Source organism: Homo sapiens, chromosome 8 (genome assembly GCF_000001405.40).
Source record: "Homo sapiens chromosome 8, GRCh38.p14 Primary Assembly".
In the NCBI taxonomy this organism is placed as follows: domain Eukaryota; kingdom Metazoa; phylum Chordata; class Mammalia; order Primates; family Hominidae; genus Homo; species Homo sapiens.
Window position 1 is genome coordinate 117,852,374 of NC_000008.11, and position 22,763 is coordinate 117,875,136.

Sequence of the window (22,763 nt, forward strand, 5' to 3'; positions counted from 1 at the left end):
ATGTGGCTCTGAATAAGAGATAACATCTTTCCCAGGGTCAGCCCCATCTCACACACTACTTCCAGGTTTTGGGGACTTGATAGAACAGGTGAGAAATAAATGCCTGTTCATTTGCTATATTTATCTCAGCCAGGACCACCAATGGAACATAGAAACTTCAAGGCCTCTTCCTAAGACTTTATATGACTCTTAGTTTCCCAATCCATCATGAGGCTTTGGTGCCAAGACCCACAACATGAATTTTAGTTCCCTAATAAGCTTGTGGAGTCTCTACTATGTGTGCAGGTCTTTAAGCCCATATGGACAAAATTGGGAAGAGACATAAAACAAATACTGCAGGAGACAATGAGATTCCATTCATTCATCCATCCATCCATTTACCAATAGCACTTATTACGTACCCACTAAGCACCAGGCATTCTATTGTCAGGATACAATGGTGGGCAAAATAAAAAATCCTGTTCCTTTACCATTCAGAATTATGGAATTCACTGTCTTGCGTAGGGAGACTGATAGTAAATAATTAATCATATAATAAAATCAACAGCTATAGTAGTTCCAAGGAGAGACTCATGGTTCTGTGAGAGCACACATGGTAGAGGAACTTGACCTAGTCAGGGGGTGGGGACGAAGCTGAAACCTAAGCGCTAAGTGTCCAGCAGGACTGGGGTTCAGAATGCAGTGCTTTGAGCAGTGCTGACAGTAGATGCAAAAGTCATCAAGAAATTTAAAGTACTTTTGGGAAAACGAAGTATGTGTACCATAATTAGTCATCTCAAAAAGTCAAAAATATTTTGCTGTGATGTAGACTAAATCCATCGGATGGTTTGCAAAACAAAGGTTAGGACTCCATGCTGCCTGGAAAAATGATTAAAGACTGGATGTCTGAGGCCGGGCATGGTGTCTCACGCCTGTGATCCCAGCACTTGGGGAGGCTGAGGAGGGCAGATCATTTGAGGTCAGGAGTTCAAGACTGGCCTGGCCAACATGGTGAAACCCCCTCTCTACTAAAAATATAAAAATTAGCCAGGTATGGTGGTGTGCACCTGTAATTCCAGCTACTCGGAAGGCTGAGGCAGGAGAATCACGTGTCTGGATGGATAAACACTTTCATTCAGTTAAACATGTTGATCATATCAGAGCATTCCAGATTCCACATACCTGCTAAGCAATAACTAAGGCAACGGACATTGACCCACGTTACAGATAGTAAAGCTGCATCAGAAAAGAGCCTTAACAACTTGATTAGAGTTAATGAAAGATACTTCAAGTTGTTCTAGTTCATCTTATCTGCTCTTCCCTGGAAACCTGGCAACTCACATTTTTAGCACTTATTTATAAGCCCCTTTCCTATTGCCGCAAAATTCTACAGGCTCTGTAGAAATGGGGCTGAGTCTCTAAATAATCACATTTTGATGGTAATTAAAAGCCAAATTCCCTAACTCCCTAAATGCTATGAGCAGTTTGAATGCCTGTGTTTTGTCCTAACATTGAGCATCTCTACGAAGAAGGAAAACCATGTTAGAAAATACTGAAATGACTTAATTGCAGAAAGAGGCAGCCTTATGATGAAGTAGCAGTGAGCTTCTGCTGGGATGGTACACTCAGGGGAGGAAGCTGCTCACAGGAAGAACGCCCAGGAGCGCTGGCCTCAGCCCTTCTTCAAGTACTCACTGCTATGAGGCCTGGGCCGAGGTCCTACAGGCCAGGAGAAGCCCTAAGATGACATCTTTCTGCTATGGTGACAAGTCCTTCCCATTGACTCTAATAGTTGTTAAGGTAAGAGAGGTAAAGAAGGGAATTTCAGTTATTAAGGCATTAGTTTGGATTGGAGCTGGGAACAAAGGAAAAGCCACAACTGGGCTTCATCCAGCAAAGACACTATTTTCATCCATCTGCCTCCTAGACTAATTTAGGGATTACAGGACCTACCCAGGGACCTCCGATGCAGCAAAGTAAGGATCATATTGTGAAGGTAGACCAGGCCAAACCATTGCCACCTCTAACTTTAAGGCTGCTAATCTCTTAGAAAAAAACTGGAAGAAAAAGTTGGAGAGGGCAGTAGGGGGAGAAAACACACACACACACATACACACACACACCATATATATATTTAAAGACCACCAAATACATTTTTCATCTTTAAATCAAAGTCCTGCATAGAAAAAGAAAGCTGCTGGTAAGTGTTAAAGGAAAGGCTTGTTGCCAATAATATAAAACATGTTTATAAAATAATACCTTAGCATGTAGAAATAACAATGATAATGATGATATAACAGCCACACTGTTGAGAGCACACTCATTCGCTGAACACTATGCTAATTACATACAGTATTGCGTCCTAAGTGTCACAATCTGTAACACTAATACTATGGTCCCATTTCACAGCTGCACACCAAGGCTGACAGAGATGTGATAATTTGCCCAGAGTTATATAGCCAGAGAAGCATAACTAGAACCTGAACATAGCCCTCTGAATCTGAAGTAGATGCTGCTGAACTTCACTTGCATTTTTTTTACCAGCAGTTTTGATGCCATATGGAGAAATAGGTATAAATGAAATCTTTCAAAGCAATGAGCACTGAAAAGATTTTGGTGCCCATTGCAATGAGTAATTCAAATAATGAACTACTAAACCTTAAAATGCAGAACTTATATGTATGCTATGCTGACATTAAAATGGCTTGTTTATAGGTTTTCTGATTGCTGCATTCTGGATAAGATAAAGCAGTCATATCCTCTCTCCCCACTGCTTTGATAGGATGCTAAGCACATGTAAAGTTGTCGGAAATCATCTCAAACCTAAAACACCAAACTAAGTGGCAGGTCTGCTCAGCTAGTTGTAAATATGGGCCTAGCTTCACTTTATTGCACTTTGCAGATCTTGAGTTTTTGTTTTTGTTTTTAACAAATTGAAGGTCTATGGCAACCCTAAGCAAGTCTATCGGCACCATTTTTCCAACAACGTGCTCAATTCCTGTCTCTATCACATTTTGGTAATTCTCATAATATTTCAAAACTTTTATTGTTATTGTATGTTAGGGTGATTTGTGATCAATGCTCTTTGATATGTTACTACTGTAATTGTTTTGGGATGTCACAAAACTCACCCATATTAAGATGGTGAACTTGAAAAATGTGTGTGTTCTGACTATGCTACCAACCAGCCATTTCCCCTCCCTCTCTCTTTGGGCCTCCTTGTTCCCTGAGACACAAAAATATTGAAATTAGGCCAATTAATAACCCTACAATGGCCTACAAGTGTGCAAGTGAAAGGAAGAGTCACACGTCTCTCACTTTATTTATTTATTTAGAGACGGAGTCTCACACTGTCACCCTGGCTGGAGGGCAATGGTGCGATCTCGGCTCACTGCAACCTCCGCCTCCCAGGTTCAAGCGATTCTCCTGCCTCAGCCTCCTGAGTAGTTGGGATTACAGGTGCTCACCACCATGCCTGGCTAATTTTTTGTATTTTTAGTAGAGACAGGGTTTCACTATGTTGGCCAGGCTGGTCTCAAACACCCGACCTCAGGTGATCCACCCGCCTCGGCCTCCCAAAGTGCTGGGATTACAGGCGTAAGCCACCATGCCCGGCCGCATCTCTCTTTAAATCCAAGGCTAGAGATGATTAAGCTTAGTGAAGAAGGAATGTTGAAAGGCATGACAGGTTGAAAGCTATGCCTCTCATGCCAAACAGCCAAGTCATGAATGCAAAGGAAAAGTTCTTGAAGGAAGTTAAAAGTGTTACTCCAGTGAACACATGAATGATAAGAGGGAGAAACAGCTTTATTGCTGATTTGGAAAAGTTTTAGTGGTCTGCCTAGAAGAGCAAACCATCCACAACATTCCCCTTAAGCCAAAGCAGAGTAAGGCTTTTTCTTTTTTTTTTTTTTTGTGGGGGGACGGAGTCTCGCTCTGTTGCCCAGGCTGGAGTGCAGTGGCGTGATCTCTGCTCACTGCAAGTTCCGCCTCCCGGGTTCATGCCATTCTCCTGCCTCAGCCTCCCGAGTAGCTGGGACTACAGGCGCCAGCCACCACGCCTGGCTAAATTTTTTTTTTTTTTTTTTTTTTTTTAGTAGAGACGGGTTTTCATCGTGTTAGCCAGGATGGTCTCGATCTCCTGACCTCATGATCCGCCCACCTCGGCCGCCCAAAGTGTTGGGATTACAGGCGTGAGCCACCGCGCCTGGCCAAGGCTTTTTCAATTTTATGATGACAGAGAGAAATGTGGAAGCTACAGAAGAAAAGTTTGAACCTAGCAGAGGTTGGCTCATGAGGCTTTAAAAAAGAAGCCATTTCCATATCATAATAGCGCAAGGTGAAGCAGCAAGTACTGATCTAGAAGCTGCAGCAAGTTATCCATAAGATCATTGATGAGGTGGCTTTACAAAACAACAGACATGCAACGTAAATGAAATAGCCTTAGATTGGAAGAAGATGCCTTCTATGACTTTCATAGCTAGGGAACAGAAATCAATGACTGGTGTAAAGGTTTGGAAGGACAGGCTGACTCTCTTTTAAGAGGCTAATGCAGCTGGTGACTTGAAGTTGAAGCCAATGCTCATTTACCACTCCAAAAATCCTAGGACCCTTAAGAATTAACTTAAAAGCTGTATATTTAGCTTTAAAGCTAAATCTACTCTGCCTGTGCTCTATAAATAGATGGAACAATAAAGCCTAGATGACAGCACATCTGTTTACAGCATGGTTAACTGAATATTTTAAGCCTACCGTTGAGACCTACGGCTTAGAAAGAAAAATTTCTTTTAAAATATTGCGTTCGTTGGCAAGTCACCTAGTTACCCAAGAGCTCTAATGGAGATGTGTAAGATTAATGTTGTTTTCATGCATGCTAACACAACACCCACTCTGCAGCCCATAGATCAAGAAGTAATTTTGGGGCCAGGCACAGTGGCTCATGCCTGTAATCCTGGCAATTTGAGAGGCCAAAGTGGGAGGAATGCTTGAGGCCAGGAGTTCAAGACCAACCTGGGCAACATAGCAAGACCTCATCTCTATAATCAAAAAATTCAGCCAGACTAGGCATGGTGGCTCACACCTATAATCCTATATCATCCTAGCACTTTGAAAGGCCATGGCAGGAGGATTGCTTGAGCCTAGGAGTTCGAGACCAGCTTGGGCAACACGGCAAGACTTCCCCCCGCCAAAAAAAAAAAAAAGTCCCAGATGGCAGCATGCCCCTGTAGTCCCAGATATTCAGGAAGCTGAGGCAGGAGGGTCACTTGAGACCAGGAGTTTGTGGTTACAGTGAGCTATGACAGCACCACTGCACTCCAGCTTGCCAGCTTGAGCAACAGAACAAAACTGACTCAAAAAAACAAAGTAATTTTAACTTTCAAGTATTGTTATTTTAAAAATACATTTTATAAGGCTATAGCTGACAGAGATGGTGATTCCTCTGATGGATCTGGGCAAAGTCAATTGAAAATCTTTTAGAAAGGATTCACCATTCTAGATGCCATAAAGAACATTCATAATTCATGGGAGAAGGTCAAAATATCAACATTAACAGGAGTTTGGAAGAAGCTGATTCCAACCTTCATAGATGACTTTGTGGAGTTCAAGACTTCAGAAGAAGTCACTGCAGATATGGTAGAACTAGCAAGAGATCTATAATTAGAAGTGCAGCCTGAAGATGTGACTGAATTGCAGCAATCTTATAAAACTTGAATGGATGAGGAATTGCTTCTTATGGATGAGCAAATAAAGTGGTTTCTTGAGATGGAATCTACTCCTGATGAAGATGCTTTGAACATTGTTGGAATGATAACAAAGGACTTAGAATATTACATAAACTTAGTTGACAAAGCAGTGGCAGGGGTTGAGAGGATTGACTCCAACTTTGAAAGAAGATCTACTGTAGGTAAAATGCTATCAAACAGCATTCTCTATGGAGAAAACGATTCTTTCATGAAGACTACAGAGAAGTCTCTCATGAAAGGAAGAGTCAATCGTTGCGGCAAACTCCACTGTTGTGTTATTTTAAGAAACTGTCAGCCAGGCACAGTGGCTCACGCCTGTAATCCCAGCACTTTGGGAGGCTGAGGCAGGCAGATCATTTGAGGTCAGGAGTTCAAGATCAGCCTGGCCAGCATGGTGAAACCCCATCTCTACTAAAAATACAAAAAAGAAAATTATCTGGGCATGGTGGCCTATGCCTGTAGTTCCAGCTACCTTGGAGGCTGAGGCAGGAGAATGGCTTGAACCTGGGAGGCGGAAGTTGCAGTGAGCTGAGATTGTGCCATTGCGCTCCAGCCTGGGTGACAGGGCAGGACTCCATCTCAAAAAAAAAAAGAAGAAAGAAAGAAAGAAAAGAAAGAAGGAAGGAAGGAAGGAAGGAAGGAAGGAAGGAAGGAAGGAAGGAAGGAAGGAAGGCAGGCAGGCAGGCAGGCAGGCAAGGCAAGGCAAGGCAAGGCAGGAAGGAAGGAAGGAAGGAAGGAAGGAAGGAAGGAAAGAAAGAAAGAAAGAAAGAAAGAAAGAAAGAAAGAAAGAAAGAAAGAAAGAAAGAAAGAAAGAAATTGCCACAGCTACCCTCACTTTCAGCAACCACCACTTGATCAGCCAGCAGCCATCAACAAGGCAAGACCCTTCACCAGCAAAATGATTATGGCTCACCAAAGGCTCAGATGATCACAAGTACTTTTTTAGCAGTAAAGTATTTTTAAATTAAGGTATATATATTGAGGTTTTTTTAGACATGTTATTGCATACCTAATAGACTACAATATAGTGTAAATATAACTTTTATATGTACTGGAAAACCAGAAAAAATCATGTGATTTGCTTTATTGTGCTCTTTGTTTTATTTTCGTGGTCTGGAACCAAACACACAATATCTCTGACGTGTGTCTTAGAACTTAGTGTTCAAAAACAGAGGCACAAAACCCAGCCACTAGTTCAAAACCTTCCCCTTGGGAGGCTAAGTGGAGACTGTAGAATAAAAATGAGGAAGAATAAGTCAGCAACTACACAATATATATGTATTTTTAAAAGAAGAAAACAATAATTGAGAGATGGTTTCATGATCTTCTCACTACTCCTGATTTGGAAATCTGGAAAGTGTGGTATGGGTATGAGGGGGATTCTTCTAGATGGATATGTTAGGTGAATCCTTGTAGGGTAGTGCAAGTTAAAGGTATAACACACCCAACTGAATGTACATTCATGGTGTATACACATATATTGCTTCTGGGTTTTTCTATCAAAAGCAAGAGCCAAAAGAAAAATACTCAACAATGAAATGTGTCCAGTAACCTTATTCTTCTGAGATATTACTGTCTATTTTGTTACTTTGGAAGCTTTTTGGTTTTACTGAACATATATTTTGATTATATGCATATGCATAGTATTTAACATCTTTTCAACATGAAAAGTGTCCATCAATGGATGATTGGATTAAATAAATGGTGGTATGTATGTATATACCATGGGATACTAACTCAGCCATGCACACACATAGAATGAAAATGAGGCTGGGCACAGTGGCTCACGCCTGTAATCCCAGCACTTTGGGAGGCCGAGGTGGGCAGATCACCTGAGGTCAGGAGTTCGGGAACAGCCTGGCCCACATGGTGCAACCCTGACTCTACTAAAAATACAAAAATTAGCCGGATATGGTGGTGGGCACCTGTAATCCCAGCTACCCGGGAGGCTGAGGCAGGAGAATTGCTTGGACCTGGGAGGCGGAGGTTGCAGTGAGCTGAGATCACGCTACTGCCCTCCAGCCTGGGTAACAGAGCAAGATTCTATCTCAAAAAAAAAAAAAAAAAAAAAAAATGAAAGAAAATGAAATCATGCCTTTTGTAGCAACATGGGTGGAACTGGAGGCCATTATTCTAAGTGAAATGACTCAGAAAGAGAAAGCCAAAAACTGCATGTTCTCACTCAGAAGTGGGAGCTCAACAATGGGTACACATGGACATACAGAGTGAAAGAACACATACTGGAGACTCCTCAAGGTGGGAGGGTGGAAGGGGGATGAGAGAAGAAGAAATCTACCTATTGGGTACAATGTCCACTATTCAGATGATGGGCAAACTGAAAGCCCAGCCTTCGCCACTATGCAGTATGTCCATGTCAGACAACTGCACTTGTGCCCCCTAAATCTATTTCAAATAATTGGTGATTCAGTATGTCCTTTGTAAAGGAAAGAGTATCTATTACATAGATAATCTTTGCCAGGGACTATCTGCGGTTGCAAATTGGAGAATCACAAGCAGTATCCTTCTGGCAGATATATTTGGTTTAGTCCCTGTTGAATCTAAACATTTTTCTTAAATTAATTGCCAACATTTTCAAATCATGAGATTTCATGCCAAAATCCGGATTTCAGGCATCTCATGAAAAATGGGAAGATTTGGCAGCACTGGACCTGCTGTACTCCCTCACGGCAAATTAGCAGAAGCTGAGCTGGCTTGATTCATTTATTACATCACTTACCTGGCCCCTGTAGGCATCTGAGTTAGTAACCCCTGGTCTACAGGTAAAGGGGCTAAAGGTCAGATACAACTCATCTCAGATGCTGGAAGCAGCTTTCTTAGTCGAAATAAGCAGCTGTCATTAGTCCAAATAGGGACGAACGATTTGACTTTAATATGAAATGTTTTATGTGGGCTATAAAATTATCCAAACTCGACACAGGACATTTTGAGCTTATTTCCAAATCATCTGGCCTTCATCTACCCACTGGAACTATTACTCTGCTGGGTCCTCATGGAAACATATCTTTCAGCCCTAACAATGAGACTACAGACATCTACGTCCCCAACACAACAGCTAAAAAGCAGTAGAATGTCAGAAAGGCTATCCACTTAGCCCTTGGCTGACAGGCCCCACTGAGCATCCTTTGCGAAGTCCATTTACTAGCTAATTCATAATTTACACAAGGCATTCAGACATAGCAGCTAAGATATAAAACATTTATCAACACAGGGACTAGTTTGTTATTTTAAAATAATTATGTTTAAGTAAGCCAATAAAGTCTATCTTCTCCAATTTACTTATTGAGCTTTATGAGGCAATTTAAGTCCCGATTTTGGGGGGTATGTATGAAAGGAGAGCATGGAAATGCCATTTGCTCCCTGAAGTTTTTATCTTTTTTTTTTTTTTTTTTTTTTTTGAGATAGAGTCTTGCTCTGTCACCCAGGCTGGAGGGCAGTGGCATGATCTTGGCTCACTGCAACCTCTGCCTCCCAGGTTCAAGTTTTTCTTGCACCTCAGCCTCCTGAGTAGCTGGGATTACAGATACGTGCCACCACACCCAGCTAATTTTTGTATTTTTTAGTAGAGATGGGGTTTTACCATGCTGGCCAGGCTGGCCTTGAACTCCTGACCTTAAGTGATCCACCCACCTCAGCCTCCCAGAGTGCTGAGATTAGAGATGTGAGCCACTGCACCCGGCCTTGAAGTTTTTGTCTTAAAAACCCAGATCCTCAAGAGAAGACCAAAAAATGGTTGTGGTGCTCATATCTCTGAGACATCTTGCAGAGAGGTAATCCCTAAATGATGCAAATCTGGTGAACATAATGCACACAGGGGACAAACCAAACGGTGAAAACTGATGTTAAACTATAAATTTTAAGCCACGGACATTAGTGTGAAACTTTACAGCTTCAAACTTTCAAAACCCACACAAAAGAATTTGTACGACACTGATGAAAATTTAGACACTAGAGATGCTCAATCATGCGCTCTGTAAGCAAATCACACTTCATGGTTAATTTTGTTGCCAGCAGGATAATAAAGTGTGATACAAACTCTAGCACAGTCTCAGCTGCTGTTAAAGAGTCTGAATGGACAGGGCATTACAATCATTAAGAATGCAGCCACGCAATTCAACCAGTAGATGGGGCACATCCACATGGCAAGCGTCCTCACTGAACCAGCCAGGTGGGAAAGAATAGGCCCTGCTTCCTGCTCTATAGCCCCCTACCAAAGAGTTACAGAGATAGCCAAATGCAGAAGGTGAGGCTGCACCTCATCTCTAAAAGAAGTATTTGATTATTTCCTTAACTTCTCTTTCATTCCTATGACAATGTAAATAAAACGGGTGGAGACTGGTGGGATTAGGAGGAATCAGGGTTGACCACCTCAGAAGGGAGAAATATATTGAATCCACTCTATAAAAGCACCTCCTTCAGTAGTCAGTGAGTCGCTTATTCTTACTGGGGACCAGTGTTTACTGAGTGCTCATTCCATCCAGGCACTGCTGGAATTGGATGTTAGATCTACAAAGGGGAATTAGACAGGAATGGGATGTGGTCCGTGGAGACTGTGGCTTACTGACACTGAAGTCCTGCAAATGCCAGTCACCTGTGGCTACAAATCATGACAGGGAACTAAACAGGTGGGCGTGAGAATGCTTATGGGTGGACAGTGGCATCTCAGTAAAGATGGGGTGCTCAGAAATGCCCTCTCTGAAGAAGTGACATTGAAACTGAGGGCTGAGGACAGAGGAGAAGCCAGCTCCCTAAAGGGAGCTGTGGGAAGAATAATTCGGGAAGTGGAAAGCATGTATGCAGAGCCCCAGGTTGCAACATTCTGGACACACTCAAGGAACAATGGAAACTAAGCCAGTCTGGGTGGGAGTGGTGGAGGTGTTGGCAGAGGAAGGAAGGGAAGTGATATGGTCAAAGGTATTTGACTAACAGGGCAGTGGGCGTTGTTAGCTTTGATGCATACTCATGTACTCCACAGAAAACACAAACACAAAATTATATGGTGCTTAATTTTCCAGATGCTATTTTAAACTTTTTACTTATATAACCTTCACTTATTTCTCACAATAACTCTAAAAGGCAAGTACTATTAGTATCATCCTCTTTTTACAGAGCAGAAAACAAGTACAGAGAGGTGAAGTGACTTGCCCCCAGACACACAGCTACTATGCACTAGAACCCAGACTGGAACGGTAGTGGTCTGATTCCAAAGTGCATGCTCTTCACTTCTATATTCTCAGAAGCACTGTTTTATTTCAAGGTGACTCTGTATATTTTGATATCACTATGCTAAGTCTAGGTTTTTTTTTTTTTTTGGCATGTTTGTTGTTTGTTTGTTGTTGTGACACTTTTGTATTGCTTTGCTGGCAGACGGCTGATGCGGGCCAAATAAGAAATCCACAATCTGGCACAGAGTACACGCCTAGACAGATTTATCATATGTCCTGATAATCAAGCACAATTGTGTACCCCAACCTTTGCCAGATGCCGGCTTCCTCATGAATCTGGGTTCTGTACATGGACTCCCCAAAGGACAGTAAATCAGCGCACTAGATATCTCTGCAAAGTTTCCAGCAGATGCTTGTCCTGTGCTTACCCTGCCCGGCTCCAGATGGCTCCACATCCTGCTCCTTCCTCTCGCGGGCACTTCAGATATGTCAGCAACGCAGGGTGAGGAAGAAGGTGGAAGGAGCAGAACTAACGTAGTTCTTTAAGAAGCCCCGCAGAGCCCAGAGGTATTTTATATATGCATATGAGGAGCTCTAAGCCCGGTCAGCATAAATCACTGCCAGCTTTTACTACCTGGACCCGATTTTCAAAAGGATGAAGTTGTTTACATGTTGCAGAAAAGGTTTCTGCTACCAGTTAACCTGTCACCTGCTACAATTCATTCCAATCTCTTCCATAGGCAACAGGTTGTATGGAATTTTCCTGCACTGACATATTAGCAAGACAATTCTATACCTACTCCGTCCTCTCAAAAGGGAGAGAACAACGCTGAGAAATAGGTCCCAGCAAAAAGATGTTAAGAAAAAATTCTTAAAGCGTATATTGCAAATCAACAACAAAAACACAAAAATCAGAAAAATTTTTAAAAAGACTTCATTCTTTCCCAGACTAAGGAACAGGTTTACACACTTTTCTTTCTCCCTAAATTAAAAGTATCCTTGACCTTATCCAGTGATTTACACACACAGCACTGTCACTAAGTTTTGCTTGCCTTTTTTGGGAACAGTCTAGACCAGGGTGTCCAATCTTTTGGCTTTCCTGGGCCAGGATGGAAGAAGAATTGTCTTGGGCCACACATAAAATACACTAACACTAATGATAGCTGATGAGCTTTAAAAAAAAATCGCGATCAGGAGCAGTGGCTCACGCCTGTAATCCCAGCACTTTGGGAGGCCGAGGCGGGCGGATCACGAGGTCAGGAGATCGAGACCATCCTGGCTAACACGGTGAAACCCCGTCTCTACTAAAAATACAAAAAATTAGCGGGGCATGGTGGGGTGTGCCTGCAGTCCCAGCTACTTGGGAGGCTGAGGCAGGAGAATGGCGTGAACCCAGGAGGCGGAGCTTGCGGTGAGCGCAGATAGCGCCACTGCACTCCAGCCTGGGCGACAGAGCGAGACTCTGCCTCAAAAAAAAAAAAAAAATCGCAAAAAAAAAAAAAAATCTCATAATGCTTCAGGAAAGTTATGAATTTGTGTTGGGCCACATTCAAAGTTGTTCTGGTCTGCATGTGGCACAAGGGCTGTGGGATGGACAAGCTTGGTCTAGATAATCCCTACTTCCTTCCTCTTCTCCAAAGATACACAGATTTTTCAAAAAAGTAGAAGCTGTTTTTTTTTAAAAAAATAGAGTTCATAACACTAGTATTCATTTATTTGCATCAGAAATTAATTACCATGACAGAAACCCAAATGAACATCTCAGAGCCAGGTGTGTTTGAGATGAGCTGACTGACTCCATACAAACACTTGTTGATTTTGCTTGAATCCTCTGTAAATTTCACTTCCCACTTATTAGATTTTCACAGAGGCCAGAAGACCCAAATAAAATCTTCTTTACTTTTTTGAGACAGGGTCTTGCTTTGTCGCTCAGGCTGGTGTACAGTGGTGCAATTATGGCTCACTGCAGCCTTGACCTCCCGGTCTCAAGCAATCCTGGCACCTCAGCCTCCTGAGTAGCTGGGACTACAGGTCTGCACCACCAAATCTGCCTAATTTTTTAAAGGTTTTTTGAAGAGATGAGGTATCACTATGTTGCCCAGGCTGGTCTCCCTTACTTTTAACCAGTGGTAAAGAGGAGCCTATGAGGTCATCTTCCATTCAGTGGTATCTAGACTTTGTGATTATAGAGCGAGAAAAACATCCAGTGGACTTACTTAGAAATGACTTCCTTTTGTCTTATACTTACTGAGAGATTTATTTCCTTCATCCTTCTTGTAACCTGGGGGGCCTGGAGAATTTCACACTCATTGTTCCCTATCTTCCTCATTCTACAGACAAATGTAGTTATAGATAAGATTATTTATTTCTGACTGTCAAGACTCATAGCAAAACTTGCTTGTATTACAATATTCATCCTGTCTGGAGATGATGGCACTAATCGTATAAATCGTGTAAATAACCAGGTGTCTTCACAGACTGAAAGTCTAGAAATGCATCTAGGTTGACAAATATTTACACCGAGTTATATTGCTTTAATTTACCATCAGTTGAAGGGAGAAGGGGGTGAGCAATATCACATTAATAAAGGAAGAGGGTATTAGAGCTTATCATTTCATGGAGGCTTGTCTTTCTTGTGTATATTCTCAACATACAAGAAGTTAAGCCAGGAGCAGTGGCTCACACCTGTAATCTCAGTACTTTGGGAGGTCAAGGTGAGTAGATCACTTCAGGTCAGGAGTTTGAGACCAGCCTGGCCAACATGGTGAAACCCCATCTCTACTAAAACTACAAAAATTAGCTGGGCATGGTGGCACGTGCCTGTAATCCCAGCTACTCAGGAAGCTGAGGCAGGAGAATCGCTTGAACCCGGGAGGCAGAGGTTGCAGTGAGCTGAGATTGCGGCACTGCACTCCAGCCTGGGCGACACAGTGAGACTCAGTCTCAAACAAAGAAGTTAAACTATTAAAATCTGAAAAATACTAAAAATATTTTTAATTCAAAATATAATTTTCAATTAAGCAGAGACTTCACCTCAGAGATAACTGATAAAAACTGAGGCACAGAGAAGTTAAGTGGCTGACCAAGGTGACACAGCTGGTGAAGGACACAGCCAGGACTCTAACCAGCTCCACATCACAAACGTGCTGTAATGAGCTACTGGCTGCCCAGCCAGCCGACTGAACAGGTTGTTTATAAAATGGAGCAAATACTATCAATCCCACTTGCCCTTAGAAATGCCCAGAGAATTAACCAAGCTCAAGGACAGTGGGGATGGCACAGAACTGACTGTACAGGTGTAAAGTGTGATGATTTATGCAGGAACTAGCTATCAAAGTTACGGAAACCTAGAATTTTATCCATTGTTGGGTATCTCCCAGTAGTGCATGATTAGCCATTCTTGACGATGATTCTGTGAGCTGTTAGAAGTTTTTGTGTGTCTAAGTAGATCTGTCTGAAACTATTTTCAGGTTGTATGAATCTTTGTCTAGGAATTTGCTTCCCTGGCCTACCCAAAAAAAAAAAAAAAAAAAAAATGAAGTGCATTTTGTTCTGTTCACAGATAGCTTTCTTTCTTGCTACTCTTGGCCATAAGACCAACTCTAAAAACATTGGTGACCCTGAAAATGTCTCAAGGACATTCAGTTTACTTTCCTTGCCTCTAAGCCACTCCTTCTTTTAAAAAAGAAAGCTTGAGGAGGCTGGGTACAGTGGCTCACGCCTGTAATCCCAGCACTTTGGGAGGCCAAGGTGGGTGGATCGCGAGGTCAGGAGTTCAAGACCAGCCTGGCCAAAGTAGTGAAACCTCGTCTCTACTAAAAATACAAAAATTCGCTGGACATGATGGTGCGTGCCTGTAGTTCTAGCTACTTGGGAGGCTGAGGCAGAAGAACTGCTTGAACCCAGGAGGCAGAAGGTGCAGTGGGCCGAGATTGCACCACTGTACTCCAGCCTGGGCGACAGAGTGAGACTCCACCTCAGAAAAAAAAAAAAAGCTTGAGGAAATTTATAGCCCAGGAAAATGAGTGGGGAAGAGATGCTATTTAAATGTAAAATCACTCCTGCTAGAGGTAGTGGTGGGAGTGGGGAGAGATGAAAGAATGGGGTGGGTAGAAGAAAATGTCCGTCCATGGGCAATTCCATTTTTGGCTATTCCATGGAGACAAACCAATTAGTGTGGATTTTCAAGGTGGTTTGTGTGAACTGGCTACCTGCCCATTATGAATTGGACTGGGATTAACTAGCTCATTCCAAACACTCCACCAAACAGCAAATGGTCACAGGAAAATGATTTTTAGTCACCAACAACCTGGCTGGATTGGAAACTTGGAGATGAAAGCCTTGATAACCTCCTACCAATCTACAAAGAGACTGTGACTCCTTCAGATCTACCCACTTCTAAATACCTTTTTCTCCCTGCCCTCTTCATTCTTTGCTTTTATTCCTTAAAAAGCTCTTTTGCAGTTCGGAGGCTGTTTGTTTTTCTGAACATAAACATACCTATCAACCAACCAGCCTGGTAATGGTCAATGTGTATGAACACCACCATTTATGTGTTTCATCATATGAGCTTGCATGACTGCCTCATCTATAAGTTTAATTCAACCCCCGGTTCTAGAAACCAGTTTACTTCTAATAGAGAAGCCCTGAGAAACTTGGGCTCAATATTGAGGGCTTCAGCACACGACTAATGCCATAAGCACTTTTAATTATCTGTCTCAGCTTCTTACAGCTGGAATTTCCCTTGTTCCAGACACAAAGTCCTTAACTTTATATTCCAGGCTCAGGAACTTGGCTCCAGGGATCACCACCAGCCACCAGCATGTTCATTCATTCTTTTCTCCAAGCAAATGATCCCTACACCAGGGTTAACAACCTCATCAAGAGAGGCTAAGGCGATTTCAGCTGCAACCCTCTGTATGTGGCATCCCTGTGGCTTCCCACCTTAGATAATTGCTATCCTCCTTTCCCTCACCTATTCCCTTATGGGGAGCCACTCAGTCCCTTTGGCTTAGGTGGGACTGATCACCACTCCTAGGGTGCAGCATGTGATCTAAGTATAAGCCACAAGCACATCATCATATTTCCCAGGCCACAGTTTTTCAGGGATGGTGTTGGGAATCATTGAAGCCAATATGGCTGGTCAGCTTCTTTAATTTTAATTTAAAAATGTTTTGTTTGTTTGTTTTTGAGACAGGGTCTCATTCTGTCACCCAAGCCAGAGTGGAGTGGCACAATCATAGCTTACCACAGCCTCAACCTACCAGGCTCAAGAAATCCTCCCACCTCAGCCTCCTGAGTAGCTGGGACCTCAGTACATGCCACCATGCCTGGCTACTTTTTTATTTTTTGTAGAGACGAGGTCCCACTATGTTGCCCAGGATGGTCTTGAGGTCCTGGGCTCAAGCAATCCTCTCACCTCGGCCTCCCAAAGTGCTGGGATTAGAGGCATGAGACAAGTCAGTGCCGGTAGTATCTGCAGTAGAGGTAGGTAGAGGCTATATATATTCTTCCACACATCCTCACGACCAAGGGGTATGTTACTATGAAAATATGTCACGGAACAAATGTTGAAGTCCTGCCAAAATTCCAGCCCATAGAGCAGGGCCTGATACCCACTGCCAGGCCACATTAATGCTGATGTGGAGTAGCCAGCCCTCAACAGGCTGCCTCCTGGACTTCCTCCACTAACCTGGCCTGGGGCCCCCAGGACCTCCCCGGAGCCAAGTGCCTGCCAAAAATCTCACTTTTTGCACAACTCTATGTTCCCTGCTGTGTGTGTTCTGCCTGGCGGGCTGGACTTCCCGCCAGCGCCCACAGGCCCCCACCCAGTGTCTGCCCCACTTTGGCGGATGAGGCTTCTCTCCAGACCCATGTCCTCCAGTTTGCTCTGTGAACCCCAGTGAGCCTGCCCAAGCCTGCCTCCATATCCACCATGAGGAAGAATTTAATGAAAGAAAACCAATGTGCCAATCTCTAATACTGGAACAGAAGTTCCAATAGGTGGTGAAGCTCAATCTTGCCCATAAATAGTGATTTATTTGTTTGGCGCAGAGGATTGGAAGGACAAACTGTAAGCTCAGCTTCAACTCAGAGCTGGCTAAGGGGCTGGCAGACAGGTCAACTCTCTGAGTCCAGGATGCACAGGAATGTTCTGGTCTCAAGTGCATGATGAAGTCAATTACCAGAAGTTTTTTAAATCCTCCAAAGTATCTACCTCCTTGTCCTAAACTATGACTGGAAATTCAAATAAAACACACTTAGTAAATTTCCTTCTTTTTCTGGCAATACTGGCTTTTATTGAAGGATGATGTAGCAGGAACAAAGTTCATTCTCAATATAACTTATCACTTTATACTATCTACATCTTAATGTCAAACGCAATAATCTCTAGCATATAAATGCTATTCCTGATTTTAAAATAATCCTATTTCATTAAGCTACATTTTAATGGATTCTACTTGAAAAGGAAGGGTGGAGTTCAAATTCCTTAGCCATAAACATTCATTTTCCCTCATATTTATATTTACATACACACACACACTCACACATATATATCTCCTTGAAATAAGGTAATGTTAGGTGAGTAGTACTTTTAATAAATGTAGTTCCAAAAAATCAAATCAAATAGTCCTTTGGATCATGAATTACTTTGTAAGATTCAGAAAAATACTCATTTTTCTATGAGAGACAAAGGAAGAAAACAATGAGGTGATGTTGCTACCCCTGTTGCGAGAATCAATGTCCCCCAACCTTGAAGCACTATTGATTTCAAATGAAAATGTTGTTTCTGTAGTTTTAAGACTTTGCTCCTTACTTTAAAAAAAAAATTAGGAAAATGAAAAAACTTCATCTAAAGATGACCAAACTATTCAATTATTTCCGTGATGGCTCATTTCTCTTAACACATAAACAAAACTAAAACTGAAGGAATTAGATGTGATAATGACATATCTCTCAAATCTCATGGTAAAATTGGATGCTCAGTGGCATTAAAACACATCTCCCACCAATAACTTTCCTCTGTGATTGCCAAGGTGTAGGTCTCTCTTATTCAAACATCTGAGAATTGTTATGTCTGAGCATCTGCTCACATTCAACATTTGATGCTAGTCTGTTATTTGCTAGGGACTTTCCTAGGCACAGGGGATACAAAGGTGATCCTCTGAGCTAAAAATCAGTGTATCAACGGGCATTAAGTAGAAGGAGCAAGGAGGGGTCTGATGTTGATCTTGGGTGCACCATTTGTTTCCAAATTCTAGCAAGTTGTCCATCAGTCTGTACTATTTACCCTAGAGTGAATTGTGGACACATGGCTCATTCATAATCAGTCCTTAGCTCCATCCACATTTATTTTACTGTCATGCAACTTGCTCCAGAGTAGGAGGCCTCTTCCTACTCCAAGTGTTAGAAAATACAGATGAACTTTACCATTCCACAAAGGATAAAGGGATTGGGAGCCTGTTGAAAGCAGGGACAGTATCACTCTACTTGGTGTCCCGTATCCACATCAGGACTCAGTGGGTATACCATAAATGCTTTGTCACACACACACACACACACACACACAAAAGATTGAAGGAATAAAAAACATATTTTTTAATGATCCAATTTAAAACATCACCTTAGTATTATAAACAGCATTCAGGGGAATACCAACTGAGTTTCTATTCTGCAGAAGGGTAAAGCAATAGAGAGAAAAAAGGTTAAAAGAGCAAATCTCTAGCCGATGTAACTGGGAAAAAAATGTAAAAAGGGCTGATCTCTAACTCCAAGTCCTGAGCACAATCTTTGGCTGTTGTATAGAATTTTCCTATGCATTGCCTGCATCTTACAGAAGTATTTAAAAGCCTTCCCTAATCTGCCCTTGTTTAGTTTTAGCTGTATTCTCCCATGGTTTTCTGATATAATCAAGGAAAAAATCAACCCTAATAGTGTTTTCATTATTTTACAGTACAATTATTTTGAGAGCATGGAACCTTCTGAGCATGTTCCTATAACTTCAAGACAAAAATGCAGTACTGTTTCTTTCAACATAAATGCATGTACTGGAATACTCTGGCACCAACAATAGGATCAAATGATAGAACTCTTCGTTCAGAAAGCCTGTAAGAAGACTTTATCCTCATCCCCGTGAGGGGCTTTTGCACACATCTGTTTCAGCTCAGTCCCCTAGAGATATCTAAAATCTAATTAACCAATTAATTTGCAAATATATTCTAATGTATGCAAGGCAGATTTTCTTGGGTGTTAAATTATCTGACACTGAACCATATACAGTACACAAGAGCGGGACCTCACTGAAATACCACAAGTTACCCCAATGCAAGAACGGCTAGGTGGGCTCTGGTCCACAAGCACTTCTATTCCCTAATGAGAAAATGAGTTACCATGGTCAGGTTAGGTTGTGTGTGCTTCAGTAAGGTACTGCTAAATGCACTGGTGAGACAGAGGGGTCATCAGGCACTCTGAGGCTTGTCTTCTAAAACTGCTTCCACAGTATCCCCTAGGGTAGGGCTGGGGTGGGCACGGTTGCCTGGGGCCAAGGAATTGGAGAAAAAATAAGCCAGCTCAGTGGCTCATGGCTGTAATCCTAGCACCGTGGGAGGCTGAGGCAAGACGATCACTGGAGTCCAGGAGTTTGAGACCAGCCTAGGCAACATAGCGAGACCTTGTCTCTGCTAAAAATAAAAAAAATAATAATTAGCTGCATGGGGTGGCGTGTACCTGTAGTCCCAGCTACTTGGGAGGCTGAGGTGGAAGGATCTCTTGGGCTCAGTAGCTCAGTAGATAGAGGCTGCAGTGAGCTATATCACACCACTACACTGCAGCCTGGGCAACAGAGTGAGACCCTGTTTCAAAAGAAAGAAAAGGAAAAGGAAGGGAGGGAGGGAGGGAGGGAAAGAAAAAATAAGATGATGATACATATTTCACTTAGTCTGTTTTCCTAGGGTGGATGAAGGGAAGTTTAAGCTATGGGAAGAGTATGCTCTATCATACTGGGAATTACTAACTGCTATTAATTTGCATGCAGAACTCTGTTCTTCAAGAAAGCAGCCACAGCAGGTAACATTGTTTACTCAGACAATCAAGTTGTAATTTACTGAACTTGTGGATTAAAAAAAAAAAGGATGTTCTTAATTGCTACATTGCAACAATTTATCCAGCTCAATGACTGTATAGCTACAGATAAGAACTCAGAATAACACTATCAAATGTTAGGGGGATTACCTAATTTACAAAATGAAGAGTATCTCAATGCACAGTGTGTTGTTACCTAAAAATATGGAATGTGGATTTTAATATGTTTCTGATAATATGTTTGGATAGCTGCTAATTGTGCAGCATTAAAGCAAAGCTGATTTTGTTATTTATCTTTTATTCAAGACAAATTATTATTTTGATTATTCACAAAATGGAAAAGAAAGAAATGGCAATATTATACAATGTGTTTTGGTATCTTATTTCTATAATGTAAATTTTTCTACTATTCAATCACTTTCAAAGATCTCCAAACACATATTAAAGCGAATACTGAAGCAGAGAAAAAAAAAAAAAAAAGAAAGAAATGCATGTCCAGTTTAGGGTTGAGGAAGCCAAGATGGGATTTTTACATAATAAATAGATTCTAAATTTTCTTCAAGGGTTAGGGAGAAGTTAAAGAGAAAGAGTGTTAGTATTTGCTATGGTCTGAATGTGTGTCTCCCACAAATTTCATATGTTGAAATCCTAACCCAAATACCGATGGGATGATGATGTGGAGCTTTTGGGAAGTGATTAGGTCATGAGGGTGGAAATCTTTTTTATAAAAGAGACTGCAGAATGATTCTTCACCATCTCAGCCACATGAGAATACGATGACAAGCCCGCAGTCTGTAACCTGAAAGAGGGCCCTCACCAGAAGCTGACCATGTTGGCACCCTGGTCTCGGACTCTGAGTCTCCACAACTGTGAAAAATAAATTTCTATTGTTCATTAGCAGCCCAAATAGACTGAGTTCTTACAGTTAAAACGTGGATTGGTCAATTCATAATAGTTGCCTAAAAGGGTAATCTATATATGCAAACTTCTTTCTGACAACGAAACTACAATTTCCCATGAAGTTGAGAGGGGTTAAGAAAATGGAGAAAATTAGCAAGTATGGTTAAGACCAATGTTGTCCTGTGACTTTTTTTTTTTTTTTTTTTTTTTTTTGAGACAGGGTATTGCTCTGTCACCCAGGCTGGAGTGCAGTGATGTGATCTCGGCTCACTATAACCTCTGCCTCCCGGGTTCAAGTGATTCTTGTGCCTCAGCCTCCCGAATAGCTAGGATTACAGGTGCATGCCACCACGCCTGGCTAATTTTTGTATGTTTAGTAGAGACAGGGTTTTGCCATGTTGGCCAGTCTGGTCTTGAAATCCTGGCCTCATGTGATCTGCCCGCCTTGGACTCCCAAAGTGCTGGGATTACAGGCATGAGCCACCGCGCCCAGTCTCACTTTAAAGGAGAGAGTTAAAGTGACATCTAAAGATATGCATCCCAATAGGATTGGGGTGATTTTCAACATTCATATAAAAAATGAGTTTATCAACACTCAAAATAGATTTATTTGGTATTTCTAGTTTGTTTGTTTAAAATGCCAACAAAACATAACATACTATGGCTATCTTCCTCCATTTGAAAAGACAAGTAATGTGGTAAATATGCTACAAAGTGGCCTAGGAGAATTTCTTAGGTATCTCCTTTGACTAACATACTTTAATCCTTTTCACTCTTGTTAGCCTCAGCATTAGTGTAGGTGCAAAGCAGCTGGTGAGTAAATTTGGGTATAATGAGCCAGTCTAGTTCATTCTAACAATGAGAAATTCCTAATTTTAAATGGTCATTTCTTTTTTAAATAGAAATGAACAGAGAGGTACAAAAAGGCTTTGGTAGAGTATGTCATAATGCATAATTATGAATATATATTGTCAAGTTTGTATGACAATTTAGATCTTTAATGTTTTTTCCATTATATCTTTTTAAAGGGAACAATCCTGGCCGGACGTGGTAGCTACAATCCCAGCACTTTGGGAAGGCTGAGGCAGGCAGATCACCTGAGGTCAGGAGTTCAAGACCAGCCTGGCCAACATGGCGAAACCTAGTCTCTACTAAAAATACAAAAATTAGCTGGGTGTGTTAGCACATGCCTGTAATCCCAGCTACTTGGGAGGCTGAGGCAGAAGAACCGCTTGAACCTGGCAGGCGGAGGTTGCAGTGAGCTGAGATCGTGCCACTTCACTCCAGCCTAGGCAACAAAGTGAGACTCTGCCTCAAAAAAAAAAAAAAAAAAGAACAATCCTTTTCCTCAATTATCCTGGGTAATTTGATAGATGAGCTATCATATAATCCCCTCAATTGATCTACTCTGCTACTCATGTGCCCACAAAAATCTAGGCAGCATACTACTGACAATGTGAGCTTCAGAAAGTCTTTCATCCAAATGGATTCCAATACCAATGATAGAAGAAACTAGTAAATATATTCCTTTTCCATCTTCTTTAGTGTCAAAGCACAGATACAGGTGACTGCATCTTAAACACTGCCCAGTTTTCAGCACTGTTTCATTTCCTGAATTCCTTCTTCCTAACTGTCCATTAGCGGCTTTGACAATAGTGTTAGCCAGATAGTCTCCTTTCTACACATATAAGGTGCAAAAATAAAAGATTTTAAACTGCAGCTTGAAGGAACAAAGTATTGTTATGTTGGTCAGGTTTTCTATGGATTAGACGTTAAAAAACAGTGGCAATAGAAATATTGGTACTCTTCTCTGTGAGTTGATATGAAGGCTGGAAATCAGCCGCCTAAGATGATCATTTAAAGGTAGGGGATGGGG

The 22,763-nt window shown here is 41.8% G+C and overlaps 1 protein-coding gene across 1 annotated transcript in view, besides 1 other annotated feature; it reads right to left on the reverse strand.

Moving 5' to 3' along the window:
• The window catches only part of EXT1 (exostosin glycosyltransferase 1), a 317,337-nt gene that overhangs the window by 57,884 nt on the left and 236,690 nt on the right, over nt 1–22,763 (reverse strand). The window lies entirely within an intron of this gene.
• Nucleotides 9,564–10,678: an enhancer blocking element, noted in NCBI's record as "candidate insulator 8-1-1; CTCF association and DNase I hypersensitivity in multiple cell types". NCBI's record gives its function as "blocks activity of the beta-globin HS2 enhancer when located between the enhancer and the Agamma-globin gene promoter in a lentiviral reporter assay in K562 erythroleukemia cells {active_cell/tissue: K562}" and the evidence as "EXISTENCE:reporter gene assay evidence [ECO:0000049][PMID:24098520]".